The 27017-nt window shown below is 35.4% G+C and overlaps 1 protein-coding gene across 4 annotated transcripts in view; it reads left to right on the top strand.

The window, feature by feature from the left end:
• CRPPA (CDP-L-ribitol pyrophosphorylase A) overlaps positions 1–27017 on the top strand; it is a 334014-nt gene that overhangs the window by 122047 nt on the left and 184950 nt on the right. For all 4 annotated transcript variants that reach the window (NR_160656.1, NM_001101417.4, NM_001368197.1 and 1 more), the window contains one exon: positions 21266–21363. Coding sequence is in view for 3 of the 4 variants with exons in the window: in NM_001101417.4 (NP_001094887.1) it covers positions 21266–21363 (98 nt within the window). In the remaining variant the exon portion in view is untranslated. The remainder of the gene's footprint in view (positions 1–21265; positions 21364–27017) is intronic.

Genomic DNA, 27017 nt, shown 5'->3' with positions numbered 1-27017 from the left:
TCAGGCCCCACCTCATTCAGTCAGAATATACATTTTAACAGGAGCTCTGGTTGATTAGTTTGTACATTAAATTCCAGACATCTTCCTCTAGGCTGCTCCTCAGTCTTTTATAGGTTTATTTCTAAATAATATCTTTATTGCATTAAGAGCTTTAAGTCTTACGATGCTCTCCCAGCTGCAAATGCTTGTTTGCTCACCTGAGATTACCCCTTCCATTTATGACTTGTACTCAAGGCTATCTCTGATAGTAGAAATGCCTCTCTGGGCATAGGAAAGAGAGAACTCTTGGATTAAAAAAAATTCCAAAGTGTAATATAGTATATAGCCTACTATGAGAGCTGTATATTTACCTGTAGGCATTTTCCTAGTGTATTAATCAGGGTTGTTTAGAGAAACAGAACCAGTAGGATGTACAGAGATATAGATAAGATGCATACATAGATTTATTATGAGGGATTGGCTCACGTGATGATGGAGGCTAAGTCCCACGATCTGCCAGCTGTAAGCTGGAGGCCCAGGAAAGCCAGTGGTAGAGTTCCAGTACAAACCCAAAGGCCTGAGAACAAGGGAAGTCAAGGGTGTAAATCCCAGTCGGAGTCCCAAGAAGACCCAGAACCTGTCTCTGCTTTAGAAGGGAGAATCTGCCTTTCCTTTGCCTTTTTGTTCTGTTCAGGACCTCAGTGGATTGGATGATGCTCCCACACTTCAGTGAGGATGATCTTCTAAGTCTTCCAATGGAAATGTTAATCTGTTCTGGAAACACCCTCATAGGCACACTCAATAATAATGTTTTACCAGCTAATTGGGGATCCCTTAGCCAGATGTAATTGACACATAAAATTAACCATTTTTATGACACATAATTTATGACACAAAATTAACCATGTTCAAAGTATTTTCCTAGGCACTATTACTATTACACAGCATTAATTGGGCACTTACTTTGTGCTGGGCATTATTTGAAGCATTTTATGTATTTTATCTCTATCTCTTATTTCTTCAAGAACTTGATGTTGTATTATAGTAGTGTTATTGTTTCCATATAATAGGGTATTTGAGAGTTCTAAAGCAAATGCTGACTTGGGAAAGAGAATGTTAACCACAAGTCTCTGCCTTAGGCAGTTTGATCTTTTTATATTTCTATTCCTTTTTTTCCCTCCCTTAAATAGAGATTGTACAAATTCCCTTATCTGAAACCTTTGGGCTATATATGTCTTAGAATTTGGAATAATTTGTACTTCTAGAAGCTACTGCAGTACATCACATGTTATAATATCTTTATTGCATTAAGAGCTTTAAGTCTTACGATGCTCTCCCAGCTGCAAATGCTTGTTTGCTCACCTGAGTTTACCCCCTCCATTTATGACTTGTATTCAAATTGTCTCTGATAGTAGAAATGCCTCTCTGGGCATAGGAAAGAGAGAACTCTTGGATTAAAAAAAAATTCCAAAATATAACAGAGCATATAGCATACTATGAGAGCTGTATATTTACCTGTAGGCATTTTCCTAGTGTATTAATCAGGGTTATTTAGAGAAACAGAACCAGCAGGATATACAGAGATATAGATAGGATGTATACATAGATTTATTTTGAGGGATTGGCTCATGTGATGATGGAGGCTAAGTCCCACGATCTGCCAGCTGCAAGCTGGAGGCCCAGGAAAGCCAGTGGTAGAGTTCCAGTACAAACCCAAAGGTGGGATTTTGTATCCTACCACAAGGTGAAATTTAAGATGCATAAATGTTTATGCTAAATGCAGTAATAAAGGCTATAGAGCTTCTAAGCCAGTTCAAGTTCAGGACTGATTTTGCCTGCAAATTTATATAAAAACAATTGTTTATTATGGTTTTAAGAACTTTTTGGATTTCAGCATTGCCTGCAACACTGTATTACCTGTTTTAGATTGTGATTCAATGAAGGTGGAAAGAATGTCTAATTTTTATGTTGCATCCCCTAACATTTAGTTGAATTGAATTGCATAATAGGCTAACAGATGCAGCTGCAGTTTTTCCCTAGAATCTAAGGGAATTTATGGCCCTTCTCTCCTGCCTTACCACTCTCCCTGCTCCTGACACATGCTTATAGGGAACTAGAATATCTATCACTATATCATTGTTTTTTTCCTTTTAAAACATAGAAATGGTATAGTATTTGAGCATTCTTTGTCAAGATTTAAAACCAAGACTTGGAGGACATTGGACTCATGCTAGGTGCCTTATATGTTATCTCACTTATTCTTTACAATAACGCTGTAAGATATATACATTGCTCTCATTTTGCAGTTGGGAAACCTGACCTAGGTTACTTTCCTCTGGGTCACACGGTTGGTAAGAGCAAGATCCATTATTTAAGCTCAGGTCTACATTGTCTTTAAGTTTGACTCGACTCTAGGATATGTCCATTTTGTACCTCTGATTCACATAGCTACTCCTGCTGCCTGCTAAAGCAGATGCTGGATTCAAGAGCTCTCTCTTGGGTGAGTACATCAGTGGTTTATAAAGCTCAGCTTGCCTAGCTCTGATTCCTCTGAGTTGAAAACTATACCTTCAGCTGGTGTGATGAAGAATAATCCTATAAGTAAGACAGAAAATTTTCTCTCCCAGTGTTTTCCTAAGCACATAGTACAGTCTTCTAGAAAGTGTTTGTTACTGGCATCACAGGTGTGTGAAAAGCATATAATGTTGTAATGACAGATTTCTAGACATGCTCAGAAAAAATAATAAAATTCCAAATCAAAATAATTGTTTTAAAATGATTTGGGGTACTGTTTAATTGTTTTTTTTCTGTTGTTGTTAGTTCTGGTAGTTGATGTTCATTATCTAGACATAACAGATTTCCTTTCTAGGATGGAACTTTTTTTGTTCTGTGATGAGTGCTTCATGTTTGTTTTTTTTTAAGTGTCCTTCCTGAGCTGTTTTTTCTCTCAAATAACAGTTATTCCTGGTCAACAAATTGTATTCTATTAAAGTAACTATTTTGTTGTTTACTTAGTTTGTTTTCAGGTGCTAGAAAACATTTCTAGGATAAATATCATGTCTCATGTTTTGCAAGAACATTTTGTACTCCAAAATTTACTTGTCACCAAAGTAGCCTGTGTGTTTTGGTCCATCTTAATTTATGTTCAAGTCAACATCTTTGGTTTAGTATGGGAATTTTGATGTTAGGAGAAAAACGAATATTCTTTCATTGGTATTTGGTGTAGGTTTGCTAACTTCAAGGCATGCTTTTGACTAGAATCTCCAAATTGTGGTAGATAGCAAGTCTCCAAATCTGATTTTTATCTTATGTTTTTAGGTAATTTTAAAGCTTAATTTATTTTAGCATCAGTGTGTTTATATGTATTTTCATTTATGGTAAACTATTTGAAGAAACATGTATAGAAAGTGGTAGTTTCATTTGTCTTTCAGAGTCTATTAAAATATAATTAATTACAAATTTGTTAAAACTGTATAAAAAAGTATTCGTCATAATCCCTTTTCTTAGGCAGAGGGTTGGATTTGGTTGTTGTTCTTTAATGTTTAACTCATTCAGGCTTCTACTGTGAGTGAAATTTAAAACAATTTTCTACGGAGTAGTATGATTAATTGGTACAACAAGACACTGGACTGACTGATAAGTTTGTAAATATCCACTTAACAAAGAGGTATTGTAGTTTTGTTGCCCAAGCTGGTTGAGCCCACCCAAGTCTGCTCTGCATGCTCAGATGAACCCAAATGATTAAAGTGGTAACAGATGCCAGTGGTAACATACTTTATATAGATTTGCATAAGCCATACAAACGGTTCCAACCCACACTTGATTTAGTATGCTGACCATATCCTGGCATGAAGGTCAGTATTCTAAGAGTTTCTAAGAAAAGCCCCAGTGGAATTTCTAAATAAACTATTGCATTTATTTTCTACCTCCATTCTTCATCTACTTAATATATTCAATATTGTGGCTAAAGAGTACTTTTAACATTTTATTTTATTCTTTCTTGGTTATACTTGTACAAACCCAAGTAAACTTGTGCTACAAAACTGCCTCATGGTGCCTGTTTTCATATATGGTTGTGTGTATTAAAAAAGAGGAAAAATAGGTAAAATTGGAAATCCATTTCATCCCTTTTGGTTTTAACTGGCTTTAGTTAATCTTTTTTCCAGTTATTATGTAATATTTTCCATTTGTTAGGTATTTTAAGGAAATTGAATTGATTTTCTCTGAAATTCTTGTTGGTTCAGAAACTTACATCTTATTCAGATAAGTGATACCGGTAGATTTCTTTCAATAAGTACTTAGCAACTGTCAAGTTATCCTCATGCCATATTTTATTTGTTTCTGAAAAACTATACCGATAGAAGAGCAGTTAAATTCTTTTATATTTATACATTGAAAGTAGCTAAATATACTTTTAATTGGCATTGACTGCAATGAATAAAATCACATGAGAATACCTTTGGTTCAGAATTGCTGAGAACTAGGAATACTGTGTTGGAGTGTGTTTTATGCATATGCAGAAACTAGTCCCTTGATTTCTTAGCGATCCTTTAACTTTTTTACTTAAAATTATGGCATTTGAAGTGCAAGATTGTTTGTTTTTGAATCCCTTGGATCAAGTTGGAAAGATGAGGAACTTTAAATCAGGTTTTCCACATCTGTGACCAGACAACATTCCGCATCTGTGGTATGTTCTCATCAGGCTTTTTCTTGTTAAATACCCAGGGATAACACCATTTATGTTGTTAGTCATGTGTTTTGGACAATGCAAAGTGACAGCTAAGATTATGTATATAGTAACCCCAAGTTTTGATGTTTCTGGCTTTGAGTATGACACTTAATTTTCCGAATTTTCAGAATAACACCATAACTTCTTTATACATAATATTTTTTGTTCTTCACTCTCTCAAAGAATACTGTGACTGTATGTTTTGTGAATCTGTGAGAACATTTGTGTCAAACTTGAATTAGTAAAAGCAGGAAGGCAGCAACAGGATTTAAGAGCAGTTTGTTCCCCTTGAAATCTTACTGTAAAAAAAAAAGTAAATTGGAAAGTTCAATATTTGGGTCAGGATTAGGAAAAGTAGAGTTCACTTGTTTTAGTTTTACCATTTCCTTAATTTGTTGTCAGCAAAATAGTAATTTAAGCATATACAAGTAAATCTGTCGCTTTTGAAGGTCACATTGAGGTATTAAGCAACTAGTTAAATAAGACTTGATATCAGACAAAAGCCAGCCACTGACACTTCACTCTGATGTAGGTAGTTAAAAAAAACCCAAAAAAACCCAAATGATGATATTTATGCTCAAAGCAAATAGTACATTTGGTAAATATCCTCATGAGTCACCAACCTTGGAACTTTGCTTTTCCTTCTAACTTTTCTCTCAACTAACTTAGAGAATATATACTTTGAAAAGAAAAAAAAAGTATGGTATTGATACAGCTCTGATGAGTAGAGAACACCAGGCTTTTCATTTTGAGTTGAATTAGAAAAAATGACATGGACACACGTGGAATAGTTTTAAGGAGCAGGGAGTTTAATAGGCAAGAAAGAAGGGGAAAGAAAGCTATCATTTAGTTAGAAAACAGTCATATGCTTGACTATACCACTTACATGTAAAAACATGTGCCGGAGACAAGATGTCACATGCCTGGTCCTTACTTTTAGTTCTAAGGTAGGAAACTTCATCCTATATTCAGTGACTCACTTAAAAATGTGGTTAAGATCTGATAATATTAAGTGTCTTTTAAAAATCTGCCTATGTGCCATTGTCCTCCAGTTGAAACATGCTCAGTTAGCTTCTGTGTTAGCTTTTCAGAAGACCACTTTGACCTTTCAGTGTGGGCGTGTATGGTTTTCTTGCATGTCTTTATTTGTTGTCTCCGTCCATTTATATTGTAGTAATGCCTTGTTGGTTGTCCTTCCTTTATTTACTGCCTGCCTTCCTTTTCCTAGTCTAATAGCTTCCTATTGCAAGGTGTTCAGACAAACCTTGAGTATCCTTTACAGATGAAACTTAGAGATATCAGGACTCAATAGTGGTGATTCTCTTTAATATTATTTTAAAATTCTTTCATGTGAGACAGAGAATAGACTCTAAGATTGGCTTTTGATTCAAAGAATGCAATAGAATAATGGAAGCCACTGCTCTTACTTTGAATGGTTACAACTTGAAACATCTTTTGGAAATGGCTACTTTTGGATTTGATATGTTTCTTATTTCTGGAGGCACATCTAACTTTGACTCAAGAGGTCAGTACAGTGGACCATGAGGCTCGATGGAAGAATTGCATGGTGTTGAGTGTTTCCAAGAAAATTGGAGACAGATTTCTCGATATTTTGCCCACCTGCTTGAGGATCTACCTTAGTGTTTGTTTGCCTTTCTTCCATTGTTACTGAGTTTCTTGTAAAATACAAATACCATTCTTACTAGAGGTGATTAATTGATACAGGCATATGCATATTCCTTGCTCCTTAATGTGTCGTGGGTCTGTCATATGGTAAAGCAGAAGCTGTGTGTATTAGAAACTTTACGTATTACTGTTTTGTGAAATTAAATCAAAAGACCCCTGATTACATCCATTTTCTGTCTATAGAGGACAGTATACTTTCTATATACCAAGAGATCCAATGTTCAAGGAAAGTAAGGAATTTTTTAAAGATACTTGTGTTACTGATTGGGTTTTGGCCTCTTTTATGAACTTTGAGATTTATACATCATTTTGCTTATGAGAGATTTTAGTTAGAATAACACTGGAATTGAACATTTATGAAACCACATTATATATAACTACATTTTGTTGAATCATGTATTCAAATGAAAAGTGGCTATATTTAGTTTGCAAATAACATTAATCAGGGAGTTGAACCCTGAAGAAATTCTGTTGCACTTACAACTGGACTGAAATTTGAGAAAATTTAAAAGGAGTCTGGCAGATGGATGGATATAGTCAAAACTCTGACATTCAGAATTTCAAACTAGGTATTCCTTAATGCACCCTTCAGGGGAGATGGCTTGAATTCTAATTCTTCCTCCCTCTGTGCTACCATCAACTCCTTGAAAGAAGTAGAGGAAGAGGAAGATATTTTGCTTGGAAAAGCCTCCGTGTCTTCTCTTACTTCCTCCACTTGGACCTAATAGTACATAGCTATAGCATTGAAGAGTCCTGCACAAAAGGACAACTGACCTCCTGAGAAGTTCTGGATTAATATCATATGTGCTTCAATAAATACTAATTGTCTTTGGTATTTGAGGATATTGTCTTCTCTAGTACATTGTGGACCAGTGAAGCAGCCAAAACTTTTAAGTTCTATATCTGTAGCCATCAGATTTAGAGTACGGTTAAGAGAGTATTGTTAACTCATAATTGATTAATATAACTATGCAAATGAGAGACATGTATGACTTTGATTTTGGTACACAATGGCTAATGTTGTGTTAGATAAGCAGCTGTCAATGAGAATTATGTTGCGTGATTAGGGAGGCATGTAACAAGTACATTTCCACCGTGTTTCATCTACCATAAAGTGCATAATTGAAATTTTCTACTTCCAGATGGAAATAAGTAAATGTATGTATATCTATATTCTCAAACAGAAGTAAGGAGAAAATAATGCATGTGCCTATTGCATTAGAGTTCAGGAAAATCTGATTTTTAAAAATTGGTATGTATTTATACATATTTATGGGTACTTTGATACAATGTGTAATCAAATCAGGGTATTGAGGGTATCAATCATCTCAAACATTTTTTTTTTACTTTGAGGACATTTCACGTCCTCTCTTTTAGCTATTGTAAAATATGCAATATATTGTTAACTACGAATAGTCAACCTATTAGGCTATTGAACCTTAAAACTTATTTCTTCTATCTGACTGTATGTTTGTACCCACTAACCTCCCTTTATTTCTTTCTCCACTACACTTCCCAGCTTCTGTTAGTCATCATTCTCTTCTTTATCTTTAAGAAATCAGTTTTCTTTATCTTTCATTATGTGAGTGACAACATGCAATATTTGTCTTTCTCTTCCTGGCCTATATAACTTAAAATAATGACTTCCAGTTCTATCCATGTTACTGCAAATGACAGAATTTCATTCATTTTTATGACTCAGTAGTATTCCATTGTGTAGTATGCCACATTTTCTTCATTCATCCATTGATAGATGCTTAGGTTGATTTTGTATATTGGCTATTATGAAGAGTGCTGCAACAAACATTGGGGTACATATATTCCTTTGATATGCTGAGTAGCATAGTAGTTATATTTTTAGTTTTTTGAGAAATCTCCATACTGTTTTTCATAGAGGTCTTGTACTAATTTAAATTTCCACTAGCAGCGTATAAGAGTTCCCTCTCTTCTGCATCCTCTTGCAGCATTTGTTATTTTTTGTGTTTTTGATAATAGCCCTGTAACTGGGGTGAGTTGATAACTCATGTGGTTTTGATTTACATTTTCCTGAGGATTAGTGATGTTGAACATTTGTTTTAATATACCTGTTGGCCGTTTGTGTGTCATCTTGTAAGAAATGCCTATTCGTGTCCTTTGCCTACTTATTAATGGGATTACTTGTTTTTTTGCTGTTGAGTTCCTTGTATATGCTAAATATTAGTACCTTGTTGAATGAAAGTTTGCAAATATCTTCTTGTATTCAACAGATTGTCTCCTTACTCTGTTGATTTTCTTTGCTGTGCAGAAGCTTTTTCCTTTAGTAAGTACTATTTCTCTATTTTTGTTCTTGTTCGTGCTTTTGGAGTCTTAGCCATAAAATGCTTTTTGACACCAATGTCCTGAAGCATTTCCTCTGCTTTCTTCCAGTTATTTTCATAGTTTTGCATCTTACATTTATATCTTTAACCTATTTTGAGTTTATTTTTGTATATGATGAGAGATAGGAGTTTAGTTTCTTTCTTCTGCATGTGGATGTCCTGTTTTCCCATTTGTCAAAGGTATGTCCTTTTCCCCATGTATATTCCTGGCACCTTTGTTGAAAATCAGTTGACTGTAAATATGTGGATTTATTTCTTGGTTCTCTATTTCATTGTATTGTCTTCTGTGTCTGTTTTAAACTAATGCTGTACTGTTTTGGTTACTATAGCTTTGGTGTATTTTGAAGTCAGGTTAGTATGATGCATCTAGCTTTGTTCTTTTTTTTCAGGATTGCTTTGGCTATTTGGGATCTATTGTGGTTCCATACACATTTCAGGATTGGTTTTTTTTTCTATTTCTGTGAAGGATATCATTGGTATTTTGATAGGGATTGTATTGAATCTGTAGATTGCTTTGGATATAGTGTGGTCATTTTAACAATATTCTTTTGATTCATGAGCATGGATGTCTTCCCATTTTTTAATGTCCTCTTCAGTTTCTTTCATTAGCGTTTTGTAGTTTTTGTTGTAGAGGCCTTTGCCTCCTGGGTATTTTATTTTACTTTTTGTAGCTATTGTAAAAGGGATTGCTTTCCTGATTTCTTTTTCAGCTAGTTATTTGTATATGAAAATATGACTGATTTTTGTATGTTGAATTTTGTTTTCTGCAACCTTACTAAATATCAATTCTAAGAGTTTTTTTGTTGGAGTCATTATGTTTTTCTAAATATAAGATTATGTCATCTATGATAGAACAGCAATTTAATTTCTTTGCCATTTTGGATGTCTTTTATTTCTTTCTCTTGCCTGATTGTTCTGGCTAGGACTTCCAGTACTGTGGTGGATAGGAGTAGAGAAAGTGGGCATCCTCTTCTTGTCCTCTTAGAGGAAAGGCTTTCAGCTTTTCTCCATTCAGTATAATGCTAGCTGTGGGTTTATCACATATAGCTTTTATTGTGTTGAGGTATGTCTCTCTATACCTTATTTGTTGAGAGCTTTTGTGAAAAAGGAATGCTGAATTTTATCAAATGCTTTTTCTATGTCTATTAAGAGGATCATATGGTTTTTGGCCTTTATTCTGTTGATAGTGATGTATCACATTTATGGATTTGCATATGTTGAACCATCTTGCATCCCTGGGAAAAATCCCACTTGACTGTGGTGTTTTATCTTTTGATATGCTGCTAGATTTGGTTTGCTAATGTTTTCTTCGGGGGTTTTGTGTCTCTGCTTTATTTTTATGTTGTATTCTTGTCTGGTTTTGGTATCAGGGTGATGCTTGCCTCAAATAATGAGTTAGGAAGAATTTCCTTCTCTTCAATTTCCTGGAGTAGTTTGAGGAGGATTAGTATCAGTTCTTCTTGATATGTTTGGTAGAGCTCGACAGTGAATCTATCTGGTCCTGGGCTTTTCGTTCTTGAGAGACTTTTTATTACTGATTCAATCTCGTTAATAATTATTCATCTGTTAAGTTTTTCTATTTCCTCCTCTTTCGATCTTGGTAGGTTGTATGTGTCCTGGAATTTAACAACTTCCTCTAAGTGTTCCAATTTATCAGCATATAGTTGTTCATAATAATTTCTCATCATCCTCTGTATTTCTGTAGTATCAGTTATAATGTCTCCTTGTTTGTTTCTCACTTTATTTGGTGGCTCTTTTTTTTGTTTAGTGGTTTATTGATGATGATTATTATTTTTGGGTGGTTTACAACCAAACTTCATTTTGTTGATCTTTGTATTTTTTGGTTTGTTTTTGTTTTTTGTTTTTGGGGATTTTTTTTTTTTTTTTTTTTTTTTGAGGCAGAGTCTCACTCCGTTGCCCAGACTGGAGTGCAGTGGTGCGATATCAGCTCACTGTAACCTCCTCTTCCCCGGTTGAAGCAATTTCCTACCTCAGCCTCCTGAGTAGCTGGGATTACAGGCATGTATAACCATGCCTGGCTAATTTTTGTATGTTTAGCAGAGATGGGGGTCTCACCATGTTGGCCAAGCTGGCCTCAAACTCCTGACCTCAGGTGATGCACCCACCTTGGCCTCCCAAAATGCTGGGATTACAGGTGTGAGCCACTGTGCCCAGCCTGTATTGTGTTTTCAGTCTTTATTTTGTTTAGTTGTGATCTTTCTTTCCTTCTACAAATTTTGGGTTTTTGTTTTTGTAATTCTTTGGGTTGCATCATCAGCTTGTTATGTTACATCCTAATAAAGTTGGAATTACACTATGTTAAAGATATTTTTTAAGGCTTGTTTTATTTTTTTTTTAGAATATATAGATTTAAAATAAATATTTTAGCTTGACTTAATTGATAGTTGTTACTGGCTTGAAAGAAAAATGTTTGTATTTTTTATTTCTCTAAAATAAGAATTCAGTGATAATTTCTTGATCTTTCTACCTCTGTCTTCTTTTTTAAACAGTCATTGTTTAACACCAATTTTTATTTAAATTGATGTAAGGAAATGTATATATTAGTCTGCCTGTGGTGCCATAACAAAGTACCAAGTCTGGGTGGCTCAAACAACCAAAATTTATTTTTTCACAACTTTGGGTGCTAGAAGTCTGAGATCAAGGTTTTGGTAGGTTTCATTTCTTCTAAAGCCTCTCTCCTTGCCTTGTAGGTGGTTTCTTCATCCTTTGTCTATACATAGTCTTCCCTCTGTAGATGTCTGTGTACATATTTATTTCCTTCTTTCCTTCCCTCCCTCCCTCCCTCCCTCCCTCCCTTCCTTCCTTCCTTTCTTTTTTTCACCCAGGCTGGAGTACAGTGGTACAATCTTGGCTCACTGCAACCTCTGCTTCCCAGGTTCAAGTGATTCTCATGCCTCAGTCTTGCAAGTAGCTGGAATTACAGGCACACACCACCACGCTCAGCTAATTTCTGTATTTTTAGTAGAGACAGGGTTTTGCCATATTGGCCAGGCTGGTCTTGAACTTCTGACCTCAAGCAATCCATTCGCTTTGGCCTTCCAAAGTGCTGGGATTACAGGTGTGAGCCACCACATGCCACCGTGCCCAGCCAATATTTCTTTTTCCTATAAGGGCCTACCCTAATGACCTCATCTTAGTTTAATCATCTCCCTAAAGACCATATCTCCAAATAAAGTTACGTTCTGAGGTATACTGGTGGGTAGGATTCCAACATGCTAATTTTGGGGGAAACACAGTTCAATCCATAACAATGTGTGTTACTCATGATCCTAGTACAGAGCCTGGAAAATAAGTCTTGAATATCTTCTTGGTACTGTGTTCCAAAGCTTGGGATGATACTGAGAAATCATAAGCAGAGTTCAGGAGTTTGTGATCTTGTGGAAGAGAAGGACAAAAAATATACTGTAATATAGAAACTATAATCAAAGTAAAATCAAAACACAAAACAGTGTTAGAGGAAAAAAATCTTTCAGGATGCTAACTTCACATAGATTTCAGCTAGAAATCTTAAAGTTGACAATTTTATGCCTGTGAACTTGGGCAATTTACTTGCTTTATAGACACCTTTTATTGATCTATAAAATGGGGAAAATAATTCATACTGCTTTATTGTAATCATTAGGTAAAATATATAAAAGTATCTACCACAATAAAAAGCAAAGGCAGTATTAAAAATATATAGTATGACATGAGCACTAAATAATCATAATGCATCTGCTGACTATTGAAATGATTATTGGCTATAAGGAACTGGTATGGCTCTTTTGGTGCATAATGCATAGATATCAGCTCTGAATAAACTTACAAGGGTTGTATTACATATAGATTTCTTTGTTTTTTTCTGAAACCCTATACTGAAAAGCCTTTCCTCAGGAATACTTAGATTCAATACTGCAGTGATTTCTACCTGAGTAGAAGGAGAATGCTGGGTTTGTGTTGATATATATTTGAGAGAGATACTTTTATGTATTAGAAATAGGAATTTTTGTAGTTTTGAAAGTCTCCTTGATGATTGTTGCCTGTGCATTCCTTTTCCTAGCCAACTCACATACACACCAAAATACATCTAAAACACAGGCTATAGTTATTAAAACAGATGGTACTTGAGGTGGACCTTATTGGAGAATTAGGAAATTGGTTCAGGAAATTGGTAGGAATTGATGAGTAAGGTATAAGTTGATTGCTTTGTATAGCATGAGAAGAGGTAGGAATCCTATGATGAGAACCTGGGAATTATTAGTTATCTGGTGAAGAATGCTTAGACATTTGCCCGTGTAAGTTCTACAGAGAAACACCAAAGAGGAGATATAGATATGAATACAGATAAACATTTGGCTCATGAACTTATGGAGGCTGGTAAGTCCAAAATCTGAAGAGTGGATGTCTCAGGCTTTCATTTGATTGGATGAGGCTTACTATACTGTGAAAAGCCATCTGCTTTATTCATTCTACCTAGTTAAATATTAATCTCATCCCAAAACACCTTCTCAGAAACACTTAATATTTGACCAAATATCTGGGCACCCTGTGGTCCAGTCAAGTTGATACACAAATTAACCATCAGAGCCAGGAAAATTAAGTTGTACATTGTTTCTTTTTGGCATATATATATATATATATATTTTTTTTTTTAAATATTATATATATATATATATATATATATATATATATATATTTATATTTTTTTTTTTTTTTTTTTGAGATGGAGTTTCACTCTTACTGCCTAAGCTGGAGTGCAGTGGTGCAATCTTGGCTCACTGCAATCTCTGCCTCCCAGGTTCAAGCGATTCTCCTGCTCAGCCACCCAAGTAGATGGGATTACAGGCATGCGCCACCATGCCCAGCTAATTTTTTGTATGTTTAGTGGAAATGGGGTTTCACCTTAGCCAGGCTTGTCTTGTACTCCTGACCTCAGGTGATCCACCTACCTCAGCTTCCCAAAGTGCTGGGATTACAGTCGTGAGCTACCGCGCCTGGCCAACATAATTTTAACTGACAATTATATACATACCTTTACCATTTAGAGGTTCTCAGACATTGACTGAGGTATTAACAGAAAAATTTGGGCTTCTTAACTAGTGCTTACGGTTTTCAATATAAGTCTATAGACTTTCTTATATTCTGGCATGAATTTTCTCTCTGTTAAATCACATCAAACTATGTGACCTTTAAATGCTGTAGACAAAAAAAAGAGTTATTCATTATAAATCAGAGTATATGTTGAAATTATTTTGGGGGCACCTTACTTGTTATGACATCAATATTTTGCCATCTGCCACTGGCCTTTTAGGAATTTTTTTAGAAGCTACTTAAAAAATAGGATAGTGTAAAAACTAAAACTCAGAGGCTAATATCAGTCTAATATCAGTCAAGTTGACAGGTCATGTATCATTTAATGTTAAATCTAAATAATTTATAATTTATTCCCAGTCTATTTTCAGGGAGAGACAAAAGACTAGATTATTATATTTGTACAATTCTGGGTTGTAAAATGATTTTGTGGTTCCCCTCAATATTTTTACTTCAACCTCTGAAATTTTCTAGGAAGTGCTTTATTAATAAAACAGAAGATTAAGAATTCTGAAGGCTTCTATTTTTGTTTTGATTTCATTAACCTCAAGGTAGTTGTTATGTACTTTGTTTTCTTTGAGAAAATTATCAGTATTAATCATATGTTTGGAAAGAATTTTGTGCTTCATGAAAAAATTAATTTTAAATATTTTGTGTGCCTTTTCTCCTCTCATTTAGTTTGGGGATCCTCGAATAACTCTGGGATTGAGGAGGTTAAATTAATTTATTGGAGCCCTGCTCCCATAGTTATATATTTTTTCTATTCTGAACTTCCAAACACGTGGTACAAGTACAGTCATTACTGTTTTTTTTGAGACAATCTTAATTGCCATCCACAATTAAGATTGTCAGTGCAGCATGCTTTTCAAATTATCAGTAGCAATTGCATAAAATGCTTCAGCCTAGATCCTAGTAGATAAACTAAGATGTAAACAATGAGAACGAGTGGGCATCTGTTTTAAAGCAAATCAGAGATGCCAACATGGGTGTATTACTCAAAATGTATATTCCATTGTCACATATGATTATGGCACGTTTGGTGAAATTTGAAACAAAGCCTTAGTGGGATGCAGTTGATATGGATTGTTTACCAAACCCTGAAATATTAAGACCATAAGAAAGAGATTAATTTGAAGTCAGAAACTGATCATATTTTGCACGGACAAAGTTATTTCAATTTATGTTCTTATTGAATGTATGTGTCCATAACAGCAATAATTCTGTCATCTATTAGGTGTTTTCTTGTACCAGGCACTAGAAATAGTTTTACACATTATCTAATCCTTATTAAAATCTCCAAGTGTAGTCTTTTACACACATCTCCTGCCTTCCCCTTATATATGTCTATTTTTAAAATGACAATATTTTATTATACTGAGGGATGAATCTTAAAATCATTGTACTAGTTGGAAAATTCACTAATAGCAGAGGTCACTTCTTATTCAATTTTGAGTGGACAATGCCTGACACACTGAAGGCATCAATAAATGAAAAGACTTTTCAAGTCCATCTCCTTGCCCTTGATTTGTCCTTTTACAGATGTGTGCTTCCTAATAATCTTTTAAAAAAGAAAAGAAAAGAAAATTTGACTCTGCATAGAAATCGTTCTTTGGTCTCTTCTCATTTCACATATGCAAAGTGCTGCCAAAGTATCAATATGCTACTTTCAGCATCTGTTCCAATATAGAATTGAAATTGTTTAAAATTTTAAAAATTGTATTTCCCTCAATTTAACAAATATTATTGAATGCCTATCAAGTATCCTATATCTGTAGTTATTAAATATGTTACCTTATTTAATATCACCTTTATAAATGTTAGAGATTGCTTAATTGTAAAACCCAGTGAGACATGCAGATAAGAGTAGTATTTGTGTGGGTTTGGGTTTTTAAAATAGTTTTATATCAGAAATATCAAAGTCTCTGTGCAATGGGCGACTGAATGCAGCTCTATCTCACTAAACTCACCATCCTCCTATTGCCACACAGAAGATTAAAGACAACTGGAAAATTACCCCCAAAATTATTCCATTTCAGGTAATAAGCTATAGTAGGATATGTATGTATCCTACTGTATATAAACACACACACACACACATATATAGTATATCTATAGATATATATATACACATAGATAGTATCATTTTTATATATATAGATCTACGTATCTATACCCATAGATACAGTATCATCTTTATAGTGTCATATATATCATATATGATATATATGTGATATATTAGTGAATCTAGGTAGATAAAAGGGAAGCTATTTGTGTTCTTGTATCTTTTAAGTTGGGAAGTTATTAAATAACTTTCATAACATATAAAATACATATATGATACAATATAGGTATGAATAGGTAGATCTCTATAGATAGTATCATTTATATATATATATATGGTAGATCAGTAGATCCTATCTATTTATACATATATAAAATATAAATGTTGTATCATATATATGAAACCATATTTATAAAGGTTCTATATATGATAGACCCTTTTGTAATCCCCACATCATAAAAAATCAGTGCAATAGCTAAGCAGAGGTTTTTAATCTGGCTATACATCAGAATCACTTTTGGACAAAAATATAGGCTAGTATCTTGTTTGATGTGCACTAGGCATATGTATTTGAAAATATAAAAGGAAAACAAGATATTTATGTTGATTCTGATGTGCAACCAGTTGAAATTGATGATGATTTTGTATGTGGTCTAATCTTTGAATGTAGACAGATTGAGAATTTATCATTAGTAGTAAAGGACATATTGATTGCGTCCATAGACACTGTAAGAAATTGGCCTGTCAGATGCAGACCACTGTGGAATGCAAATAGCTGAGATTAGCTGACAATATAGAAACCAACACAATAACAGATCCACCATATTTCTTATGATGTTATTTTACCTCGAATCTACATCCTTATGTTTTGCTCACTTAAGAGAGGTGAACTTTAAAGTCTCCTATTAATATAGCTTCACATATTTTTTCTTAATTTTTGTTTTTAGGAGAGGGTGCTTTTTTATTTTAATAACTTTCAAACTTAAAAGATACAGGAATAACACAAATAGCTTCCCTGTCTTTTACCTACCTTGTTGTTTACATTTTGCCTCATTTACTTTATCATTTCTGTGCATGTACTCCCTTCTCACCTTTTCCGTCACCCTTTCTTCTCCTTCTCCTCCTCCATCTCTTGACCTGTAGCATTGTGAACTACTTAATGGGGTGGTGTTTAAACCACCAAATTTATAGTAATTTGTTACACAGCATTCTAATAAAAACAATAAAATTCTACATAATCCATAGAGGAAATAAGAAACCACAATAGAAATTAGATGTTTCTAATAATATGATTCTAAATGAAAGCGAGTGAAAAGGAATGAAATATTTTAAACTAAATATGAAGTCATTTAAATTGAGTGAAAATATCACAGTGTTTGAGATACAGCTAAAACTGTTATTAGAGGAAAATTTAGAGCCTTAAATATAAATAGAAAAAAGGAAGAGAGTCAGCAACTTAAACATTTTTAAAAAGAGAAGCAGCAAACAAAACTCAAAAGATAGTGGAAGGAAGAAAATACTGAAGAAAATGTTAAGAACTCATAAACTAGAAAACAAACATATAAGACAGAATCAATCATGATTTCCTCGGATGACAGTAATAAAACTGGTAAGACCTTGGCAAGAGTGATTATGAAAAATATTGAATGCTCAGTCAGTATCAGAAATGAAAAAGAATCAATACAATTGTACAGATATTAAGATGTTACGAACAACGTTATGCTACTGTTAATAAGAATTTAGATGAAATGAACACATCCTTAGGGAAATACACCTTACTAACCTGAGACAGAAAATAGAGAATGTGAATAATCATTCATCAATTTAAGATACTGAATTTTTATTAAAAGCTCTCCCACAAAGAAGCAGTTGGCTTTTACCAGTGAATTCTACAAAACCACTCAAAAGAAGACATGACACCAATCTTGCACACTTTCTAGAGAGTAGGAAAAACACTTACCAACTCATTATGTGCGAATAGTATAATTACTTAATGACAATATGACAGGGCCTTATAAGTAAGTAGAATTACAGGCTAACTTTTTTTTCCATGAGCATAGAGCCAATATTTAAAATTTTTCATTATCAGATAAAATTATAGATTGGAAAGAAATAAAACTTTATCACTCATCAGCATGTTTGTATATACCAAGAAGTTAAAATCTATAAAACATCAGTTTATAAGTAAATGTAGCAAGGTTACTGACTATACAAGGTCTGTATCAAAATGTATTTTTATACATAACAACAAATAGGAAATTAAAAATCAATTTATAAGTGGTGTCAACAAACAAGAATAAATCTAACAAAAGATGAAAGGGGTCTGCACTGGAAACTACAAAGCACTATTGAAACAAAGATTTCAGGACACAGGGGACAAATCATGTTCATTTGGAAGGCTTGTTATTTTAAAGATGTCATTTCTATACCAAACTCAACAGATGTTTTTGTGGAAATGATGGTAAAAATTTATGTGGCAATGAAGGACTCCTAAACAACAAATGTGTTCTATTTAGGGTAACTGAAACATGGCATAGGATAAATGCCAAATAGATTTTTTTTTCCCTTGAAACAGAGTCTCACTCCGTCACTCAGGCTGGAGTGTAGTGGCGTGATCTTGGCTCAGTGCAACCTCTGCCTCCCGAGTTCAAGCGATTCTCCTGCCTCAGCCTCCTGCGTAGCTGGGACTACAGGAGTGCACCATCATGCCCGGCTAATTTTTGTATTTTTAATAGAGATGGGGTTTCACCATGTTGCCCAGGCTGGTCTTGAACTCCTGACCTCAAGTGATCTTCCACCTTGGCCTCCCAAAGTGCTGGGATTACAGGCGTGAGCCACTGTGCCTGGCCAGCAAATAGATTTTGAATTCATTTTTTAAAAATATTTCATTTTTGTAAGTTGGTAGTAATATATCAGTTTTATTACTGTACACATGTTGGGTAGCGCTTAGAATTTTATAAAGAGGGATATATGATGAAACAAGGCAAGGAAAACCTACATATGCTGTTTTGTATTTAAAAATTATTCTTAATGTTATGCATTATTTTACAAATTTATATAAATGTTTGTGGCACCATCACATTAATTGTTGCATTTGCAGATTACTTTGTACATTAAATTTCTTGATTGTCCTAATGTTTTCATGAGGAGCTTTCAGAAATAAAACTGTTGGGGCCTTAGCCTAAGATATTACAAAGCCCAGATTTCTCTAAACATGTAATTTCATGATGTATAAGTTTGGGTTAACTCTGTTTTCAAAAGCCACTGCTTTTATGAGTTAACTTCTAAATGAAAGTCCTAGGACACTCTAGTGTCCAAGACAGCAAGGGATCCCTTTGATTTGATCTCACTAAGTATCCCACTTTAGAACTCACTACTAAATCATTTTATGTCTTTTGACATGGTTTGGCTGTGTCCCCACCCAAATCTCATCTTGAATTCTCATGTGTTGTGGGAGGGACCCAGTGGGAGGTAATTGAATCATGGGGGCAGGTCTTTCCCATGCTGTTCTCATGATAGTGAGTAAGTCTCATGAGATCTGATAGTTTTAAAAAGAGGAGTTTCCCTGCACAAGCTCTCTTCTCTTCCCTGCATAAGCAGACGCATGTCTGCTGTCATGTGAGATGTGCCTTTCACCTTCTGCCATGATTGTGAGGCCTCCCCAGCCACATGGAACTGTAAGTCCAATAAAATTCTTTCTTTTGTAAATTGCCCAGTCTCTGGTATATCTTTATCAGGAGTGTGAAAACAAACTAATATAGCTTTCAAGTAATTCTCTTGGTTGTTGGTCACACTACGTTTATGTGACTACCTACCTCAATACACATTAAAATGTTGTTTCCTTCTTATCATTTTGATTGTTTGCAAAGCTCCTTTCTCCCACTCCTAAGCAAAATCTATTCCCCTTTCAAGAGTGAGCTCCTAGCTCATTGTATTATAGAGTTATCTGATCTTGTCTCCAGTTTCTCTCTCCACAATGATGTTCTGTAGCATTTACTGTCTAAAACATTCATTTGTGTTTTTAATTATGTTGACTTTTATTAGCACCACGTAACTTAGAATTACAGATTTATTTTTTTGGATTTGAATCCTTTTTCTACTACTCATGTCCCTGTAGTCTTGGGCAAATTACTTCTCTGAATTCAAGCTTCCTGAACCTGTTACATAGATTCAGAATGATACTGATCTTGTAGGGTCATCATGAGCATTAGTATTCATATATACCATATAGCTCCTGGAATGCATAATATTCTTGTTAAGTAGGAGGTAGTAATAGCAGTGCTATTAACTGGTGGTATTATTTTCAATAACCTATTCTCCCTAGCTTTGCTTGAAATAATTAGTAGCTATTGCTACATCAGTGATTTATATGGGCCCTATTTTACAGAGTTGCTCAGGTAAGAAGCAGTTGGGTCAAAAGTTAATCAAACATACTTTTGATTCAGGAATCCTATCTTAAAATCAGGCTTTGTTTTCTTTATCCATGATATAATGCTATGTAATGGCTCTTTAACTGGCAGCTATATAGGCAATTTCCATATAGGATGCCTGAAACTTTGAAGAACCGCTGTTAATTATAAGACAGAAAGATGTGGATTAAGAAAAATTCTACTCAGATTTCAGCCCATGGTTGAACTTTGTATCATGATAACAAGAGGTCAAGTTACCTTGAATCAGGGTACCTTCTGATTTGCCTGCTATAGAGGAGGACTTCATATCTTTTGGAAGAATGCATCCAGGGTTTCCAGAGGTGACTATCACTGTGTTACATAGTTTATAAATTTTAAATCGGACCATCTCAAGTCTTCCAGATGTGAAGAAAATTCTTTCAGTTGTTTTTACTTGTTAGTGCAATAGTCAAAACAGGAACTTAATTGTACTGAATTGAAAATCTAGAGGAATGTCAAGGAACACAATGTACTTAACCAAGGCACTGGATGGCACATTGAATCTGTGCACAGGAGATAACCTATGGCCTAAAGAGTGAATCTGTTTAAGAAGTGGAAATCTGTTAGGTTCTGGGAGACTCCTTATAAACATGGAAAGATTGAATTGTTGAACTTCAAATGGTTGTCACCTCTACTCCCTTCCGAATGCATCCTAAAATATCTTATTTCTGTTAGTTGCACAATGGCTGGTTCTTCACCCACAAAGTGTTCAATGGATAGGTTTATGGACTTGGGTAGTAAACTGAATCAAGGCCATCTCAGTGTGTACACAGATTACTCCACTTGGCCTGAAATCAAAACCTCCCTATTCTTGGTCAACAGCTAAGAACATCAGGTAAGTTTATGTTTCAGCATCCTAGGGCCTTGTTACATGTTTTGTTTGAAACTTAAAACTTTTTTTTTTTAATTTCAGAGAGAATTTCCCAAGAGATTTGTGTAGTTATGGATACAGAAGAAGATAACAAACATGTAGGTCATCTTCTTGAAGAAGTGCTGAAAAGTGAATTAAATGTAAGTATTCAAAGACTGAGTTTGATAAACTTTGATTGCCAAAAACTTTTATAGTATAAAGATATCTTTCTTGGAAAAAAACCCATAAAAATCCCTTAATCATAATGTTCTTATTATTTTGCCTCAATGAGATCCTTTGGTCTGCCAGCACTTAGGATCTGAAACATACTCCATCCCCCTTTTCATTCCTTTTGTGGATTTTTTTCCAGTGTCCATGTGTGACGACCTTTAGGAAGCCCTGCCTGATGCCTGCATTCCCCAGCATAAGGCTGAGACTTGTCTTAAGAGGCATAGTGGCCAGCACATGCTAGATGCTTAGTAAAGTTTGTAGACTCTGTGAAGATTAGAGAGATTATGAAGAGGGAGGGGGAAATAAGAGACATGATGACAAAAGGTGAAATAATCATGATATTGGAAAAGCGAGTAAATGTGAAGTGACCAACTTCCTAGTTAAACTCATATCTAATATTAGGGCTAGGCAAATAGAAGATGCAATAAGTGTGAGGGTGTCTATAGGAACTCTTTATAATTTTACCACCAAGCACTGCCATTAATCATTTTTATGACAACTTTCAAGTATTTTCTTTGCCACACTTATTTTTGTACATTTTAATTAATTTCTGTTTTCATTAAAATATATAACTTCTAATCCAAGTTTATGTTCAATATGTGATGACCTTTTGACAACGTACATAATTCTCATCAAAAGTAGAGGGTAAAAGTTGATTTTAGCTGTGTAATTTTTTTTTTTTTTTTTTTTTTTTGAGATGGAGTCTCACTCTGTTGCCAAGCTGGAGTATAGTGGTGTGATCTCAGCTCACTGCAACCTCCACCTTCTGGGTTCAAGTGATTCTCCTGCCTCAGCCTCCACCATGCCCATTAGCTGTGTAATTTTATCATGATAGCACAGTTGGAAAGAGAACAGGCTCTGTTATCAGACTGCTTGCACTTTGGATGTTAGCTCTGTTTCCTAATTTCCTTATCTGTAAATTGAAACTGTTAATAACATCTATGTTCTAAAGTTGCTGGGTGAGTTGAATAAAATGAATATATTTAAAGTGCTTAGAGAAGCATCTGGCATGCAGTACGTTTTCAATGCATTTGAACTATAATTAAACTTTCAGTGATAAGTTGGCAGAGTGGTGTGACAGTATTAGATAGTACAGACTGTTAGTTCCCATACTTCAGTGCTGTACTGGATACATGAGTTGTTAAAATTAACAAATTAACCAGTGTCTTCTACCTCCTCCTTTCTAAAGAATCTAATTTGAATTAGTATGCTTTAATTTAAAGTTTATAGCTGAAAGATGACAGTGAACTTTCTTACTGTATATATTCTTACATTCATGTCATTACCTACTATCTCCCTTAAACAATTGTTTATTCTTAGTCATATAAGTAAATATATATGTGATAGCCACTACAATCCTTATGTTGATACCTTAAAAATCATTTTGGTTTTCTGGAACTAATCCTCCAATAGATGCTCTAGTGAGGGCTCATGGGCACAGTATTCCCAAGTTCTTCGATGTGAATAAAATTATTCTTTTGCTCAAAATCTTCAAGGTGGTTTTGGCTAGATTAAAAGCAATCTTAATTCAGTAATTTTTTGTTGAGTATCTTCAATATGCCAGTCTATTTTCTTTTGTCATAAAGTGTTTTGGTCAAGTGTGATGAAAATCTGACTTTCTTTGTCTTATAAGTGATTTAGTCTATTTGCCTGGATGCTCAAATAATTCTTTTCCTTTAAAGTCCATTTGTTTTACTACAGTTTTCTTAATTATAGTCATTTTGGCTGATATTGCTAGGTACATAGTGGATGCTTCTGTGTAGTTTCGAATCTTTTTATTTGACATTATTTCTTTAGTTTTTTTCTGTTTGGTTACTTCAGTTTTCTTCAGAGATTCCTGTTGGATGAAGCTTACATGTTCTTTGGCCATCCACAGCTATTACATTCTCCTGAGTTTTTCTAATCTCTTAATTTCTTTTTAATTTTCTTACTTCCCGTCTTTTATTTCTGTTCAGTCATTACCTTTTGTGTTTTTTCTAATTTAGTCTTCATTTCTGAAATATTTTTTAAATTTTCTCGCCTTGTTTCTAAGTTATTCCAAGTCTGACTTTTATAGTTCTGTCATTTTCTTAATTTCTTTTAGCTTATTAAATATTGGGTTACAGTCTTCATTTATTTTATGACTGGGTCTTTCTGATGTGCATGGGTTTCTGTAGGTACATTATTTTGCTGTTTAGTCTTTTTTTTTCTTTCTTTCTGTCATTCATATATATATATTTTTTGTTTGTTTTTGTTTTTGTTTTTTTCCGAGACAGGGTCTTGGTACTATCATGGCTCATTGCAGCCTTGGCCTTGGCCTGCTGGGCTCAAGCGATCCTCCCATCTCATCTTCCTGAGTAGCTGGGACCACAGGCACACACTGCAATGCCCAGCTAATTTTTTTTTTCCTTTTTGTAGAGACAGGAGTCTCCACATGTTGCCCAGGCTGGTCTCAAACTCCTGGCCTCAAGTGATCCTCTCACGTTGGCCTCCCAAAGGGCGGAAATACAGGCATGACCATTGCACCTAGCCCTATTGTTCCTTTTTAAGTAGAAGAGTTTTATCTAGTTTTAGGAGGAAGGGATGAGTCAAAATAACACCTCCGTGGCCGTCCTTTGCCTGTACTTTCTCTTTCCTTTATTCCTAGTGCACCTCCCTTGGTCCATCTAGACTTCTCAGGCTGGTGCTTTAACATACTACGGTGCTTCTGTTTATTGGTTTTGAATGTGCTTTGGACCCAGACCCCCAGTTATCCCTAGCAGAGAACGTTCATGTGGCTTCCTTGTTTTCAACTTTGAATTAAAGCCTACAAAGGCTTCTCCTAGTTTCTGTTGCTATTCCCAGAATGGAATGGCCTGCTAAGGTATCCAGAAAGTATCTGATGATGATTTTGTTGTTTTCTGTCTTTCTTGGTTTACTCCCATTTTTTTCTACAGTTTCTTAAACTGTGTGTGTCTTTATATGTGCTGCCAATTTATCCCTACCCACTAATATTATTTTTTTTTAGACACTGTCTCACTCAGTTGCCCAGGCTGGAGTGCAGTGGCATGGTCTCAGCTCACCACAACCTACGCCTCCCAGGTTCAAATGATTCTCGTGCCTCAGCCTCCCAAATATTGGTTTTATAGTAGATAATGTCTATAGGTTTTTGGCTTTGATATCCTCCTTGCTTTTTCTGTTTTTATGAAGGGTCTGCAGAGATTCAAAGACTAAAATCATATTTCTAGGTTTCCAGAATCTTTCTCCCCTTTATTGTTCGTGTGCTCTCCTGGCCATTTATAATTTTTAAAGATCACTTAAATTTCTCTTTTAATTTCAAGTATCTAATTCGTCTATAAATATAGACAGACATAGCAAATTTGGAATTTTTAAAAAATTAGGTTTGGCTTGAAGTTAGGGATTTCCTTCATATAATAAAACTAAGAAGTATTCATATATTCAAAAGTAAGAAAATCACCATTCCTCAAAAATTTCTTAATTTAATATCTTCCTTTTTGGAGATAAATTAGACTTTTTATTTTTTTTTAATGAGGAGCTAATGTAGAACTTCTAAAACTGAACTTTGGGTGTCCTGTTATTTTACTCAGAGAATCTTGGTTCACCTTGAAAGGAGATATCGTTCCTGCTAAGCCTTCCCTGACTTCTAAATTTGGTTAAAAAGAATTAAAAGTTTAAAAACCTGTTATGCCACACAAACTTAAGAGAATGCTTTCTCTTAGAAACAGCCACAACAGGCCGGGTGTGGTGGCTCACGTCCGTAATCCCAGCAATTTGGGATCCGAGGTGGGCGGATCACGAAGTCAGGAGATCGAGACCATCCTGGCTAACACGGTGAAACCTGTCTCTACTAAAAATACAAAAAATTAGCTGGGCGTGGTGGTGGGCATCTGTAGTCCCAGCTACTCGGGAGGCTGAGGCAGGAGAATGTCGTGAACCCGGGAGGCAGAGGTTGCAGTGAGCCGAGATCGCGCCGCTGCACTCCAGCCTGGGCGACAGAGCGAGACTCCGTCTCAAAAACAAAACAAAACAAAAACAAAAACAAAAACAGCCACAACACTGATTATGGAGTGTCAGGAGTAGTACTGAAATGGGCAGTTCCCCTGGCCCCTTCGCAGGACTGGCTAAGGGGTTGGCTCATTTAATCAGCCCACAGCTCTCCACCTCTCATGGGACAGGGAGCATGCAGGTGAGCAGGTACAGAGGCCAGGACAAGTCCTTCTGGGCGCGATGGCAGGAATAGAACTTCATGCAGCTCCATGGCTACATCTAGCAGGGTATCCATGACCCCTGAAGCCCCAGAGGACGTGTGTTACATTGTGCTCTTTTACCTTTGCTGTCTACAAACAGCTTAAGTGTTTAACAGCTCAGTGGAGGGTAGGATGACAACCTTTTGCACCAGCCCTCTTGGTACCAGAGTTCTTGTTCGGTGTCCGGGAGGAATCAGGCTGCATCAGTTAATTGAAGGGTGGTGAATGTGGAGGATTTACTGACGAGTGGAAGTGGCTTTCAGTGGGATGCGGTGCTGGAAAGGGGATGGAGTGGAAAGGTGGTCTTCCCCTGGAGTTTGGCTATCCCCTGCTGACCTCTTCTCTGTGGTCCTACCGTCAAGCCGTCCTTCTGAAGTCCCACCTTCAAGCTGTCCCTCTGAAGTCAAACTGCTTCTCTTTGACAGCTGCTGCTTCTCTTCTGGCCCCTGCTGTTCCACTCTGCTGCCCCTCTGCCATCACTCTGCTAGTGGAGCTTGGGGTTTTTTATGGGTACAAGATGGGAGGCAGGGAGAGCCAAAAAGCAGCATTTGAGTGGGAAAACAGGAATGCATGTTCTCACTTTGGGCCACAGTACCCAGGCCTAAGGGTGTGGCCCTCACCAGGGACTGTCCTCTTCTACCCGGGATTTCCGTGTCTCCTGTTTGTATCAGTACTATGCAGTTCTTTTCTCTTTAAAATAACCCTTTGATGGGGGGAGGGGGGAGGGATAGCATTAGGAGATATACCTAATGCTAAATGACGAGTTAATGGGTGCAGCACCCCAGCATGGCACATGTATACATATGTAACTAACCTGCACATTGTGCACATGTACCCTAAAACTTAAAGTATAATAATAATAAAATAAAAAAAAAAGCGACAAAGGATATGAATAGACATTCTTTCAAACAAGATATATAAATGGAAAAAAAATAACCCTATGATTTCCCCCTTTATTTTACAAATGGAAATAGGGAAACTTGCAGTTTGATTTGCCTGAGGTCATGTCAATAGTGAATATAGATGCTAGTTGATTCAAAATGGTCTCTACTAATTAATATTCTTCTAAGGAAAGGTGAGATAAAAGACTGAGATTTTTAAGTTTGACAAAGGGCTAATACCTAATGTCTGAAAGACATCCCCTTAGGAAAGGATTTATGTAGTTTTATATACTTTTTCCCTTCCCTTATAAAGGTAAATTTATCTCATGACATTTTTCAGCTTATAACTTACAAATACAAAATGCAACGTATTCTAACATTTTCACCTCTCAAAGCTTTCATCCTACTTTGAAAGGAATGTGTAAAAAGGATGAAGTCACCACTATTGAAATCCTGGCATCTGTAGGGCAGATCAGT

The sequence above is a fragment of the Homo sapiens genome, chromosome 7 (genome assembly GCF_000001405.40).
Source record: "Homo sapiens chromosome 7, GRCh38.p14 Primary Assembly".
Classification (NCBI taxonomy): domain Eukaryota; kingdom Metazoa; phylum Chordata; class Mammalia; order Primates; family Hominidae; genus Homo; species Homo sapiens.
The sequence above is the reverse complement of the archived record's forward strand: the minus strand, read 5'-3'. Positions and strand labels throughout refer to the sequence as shown.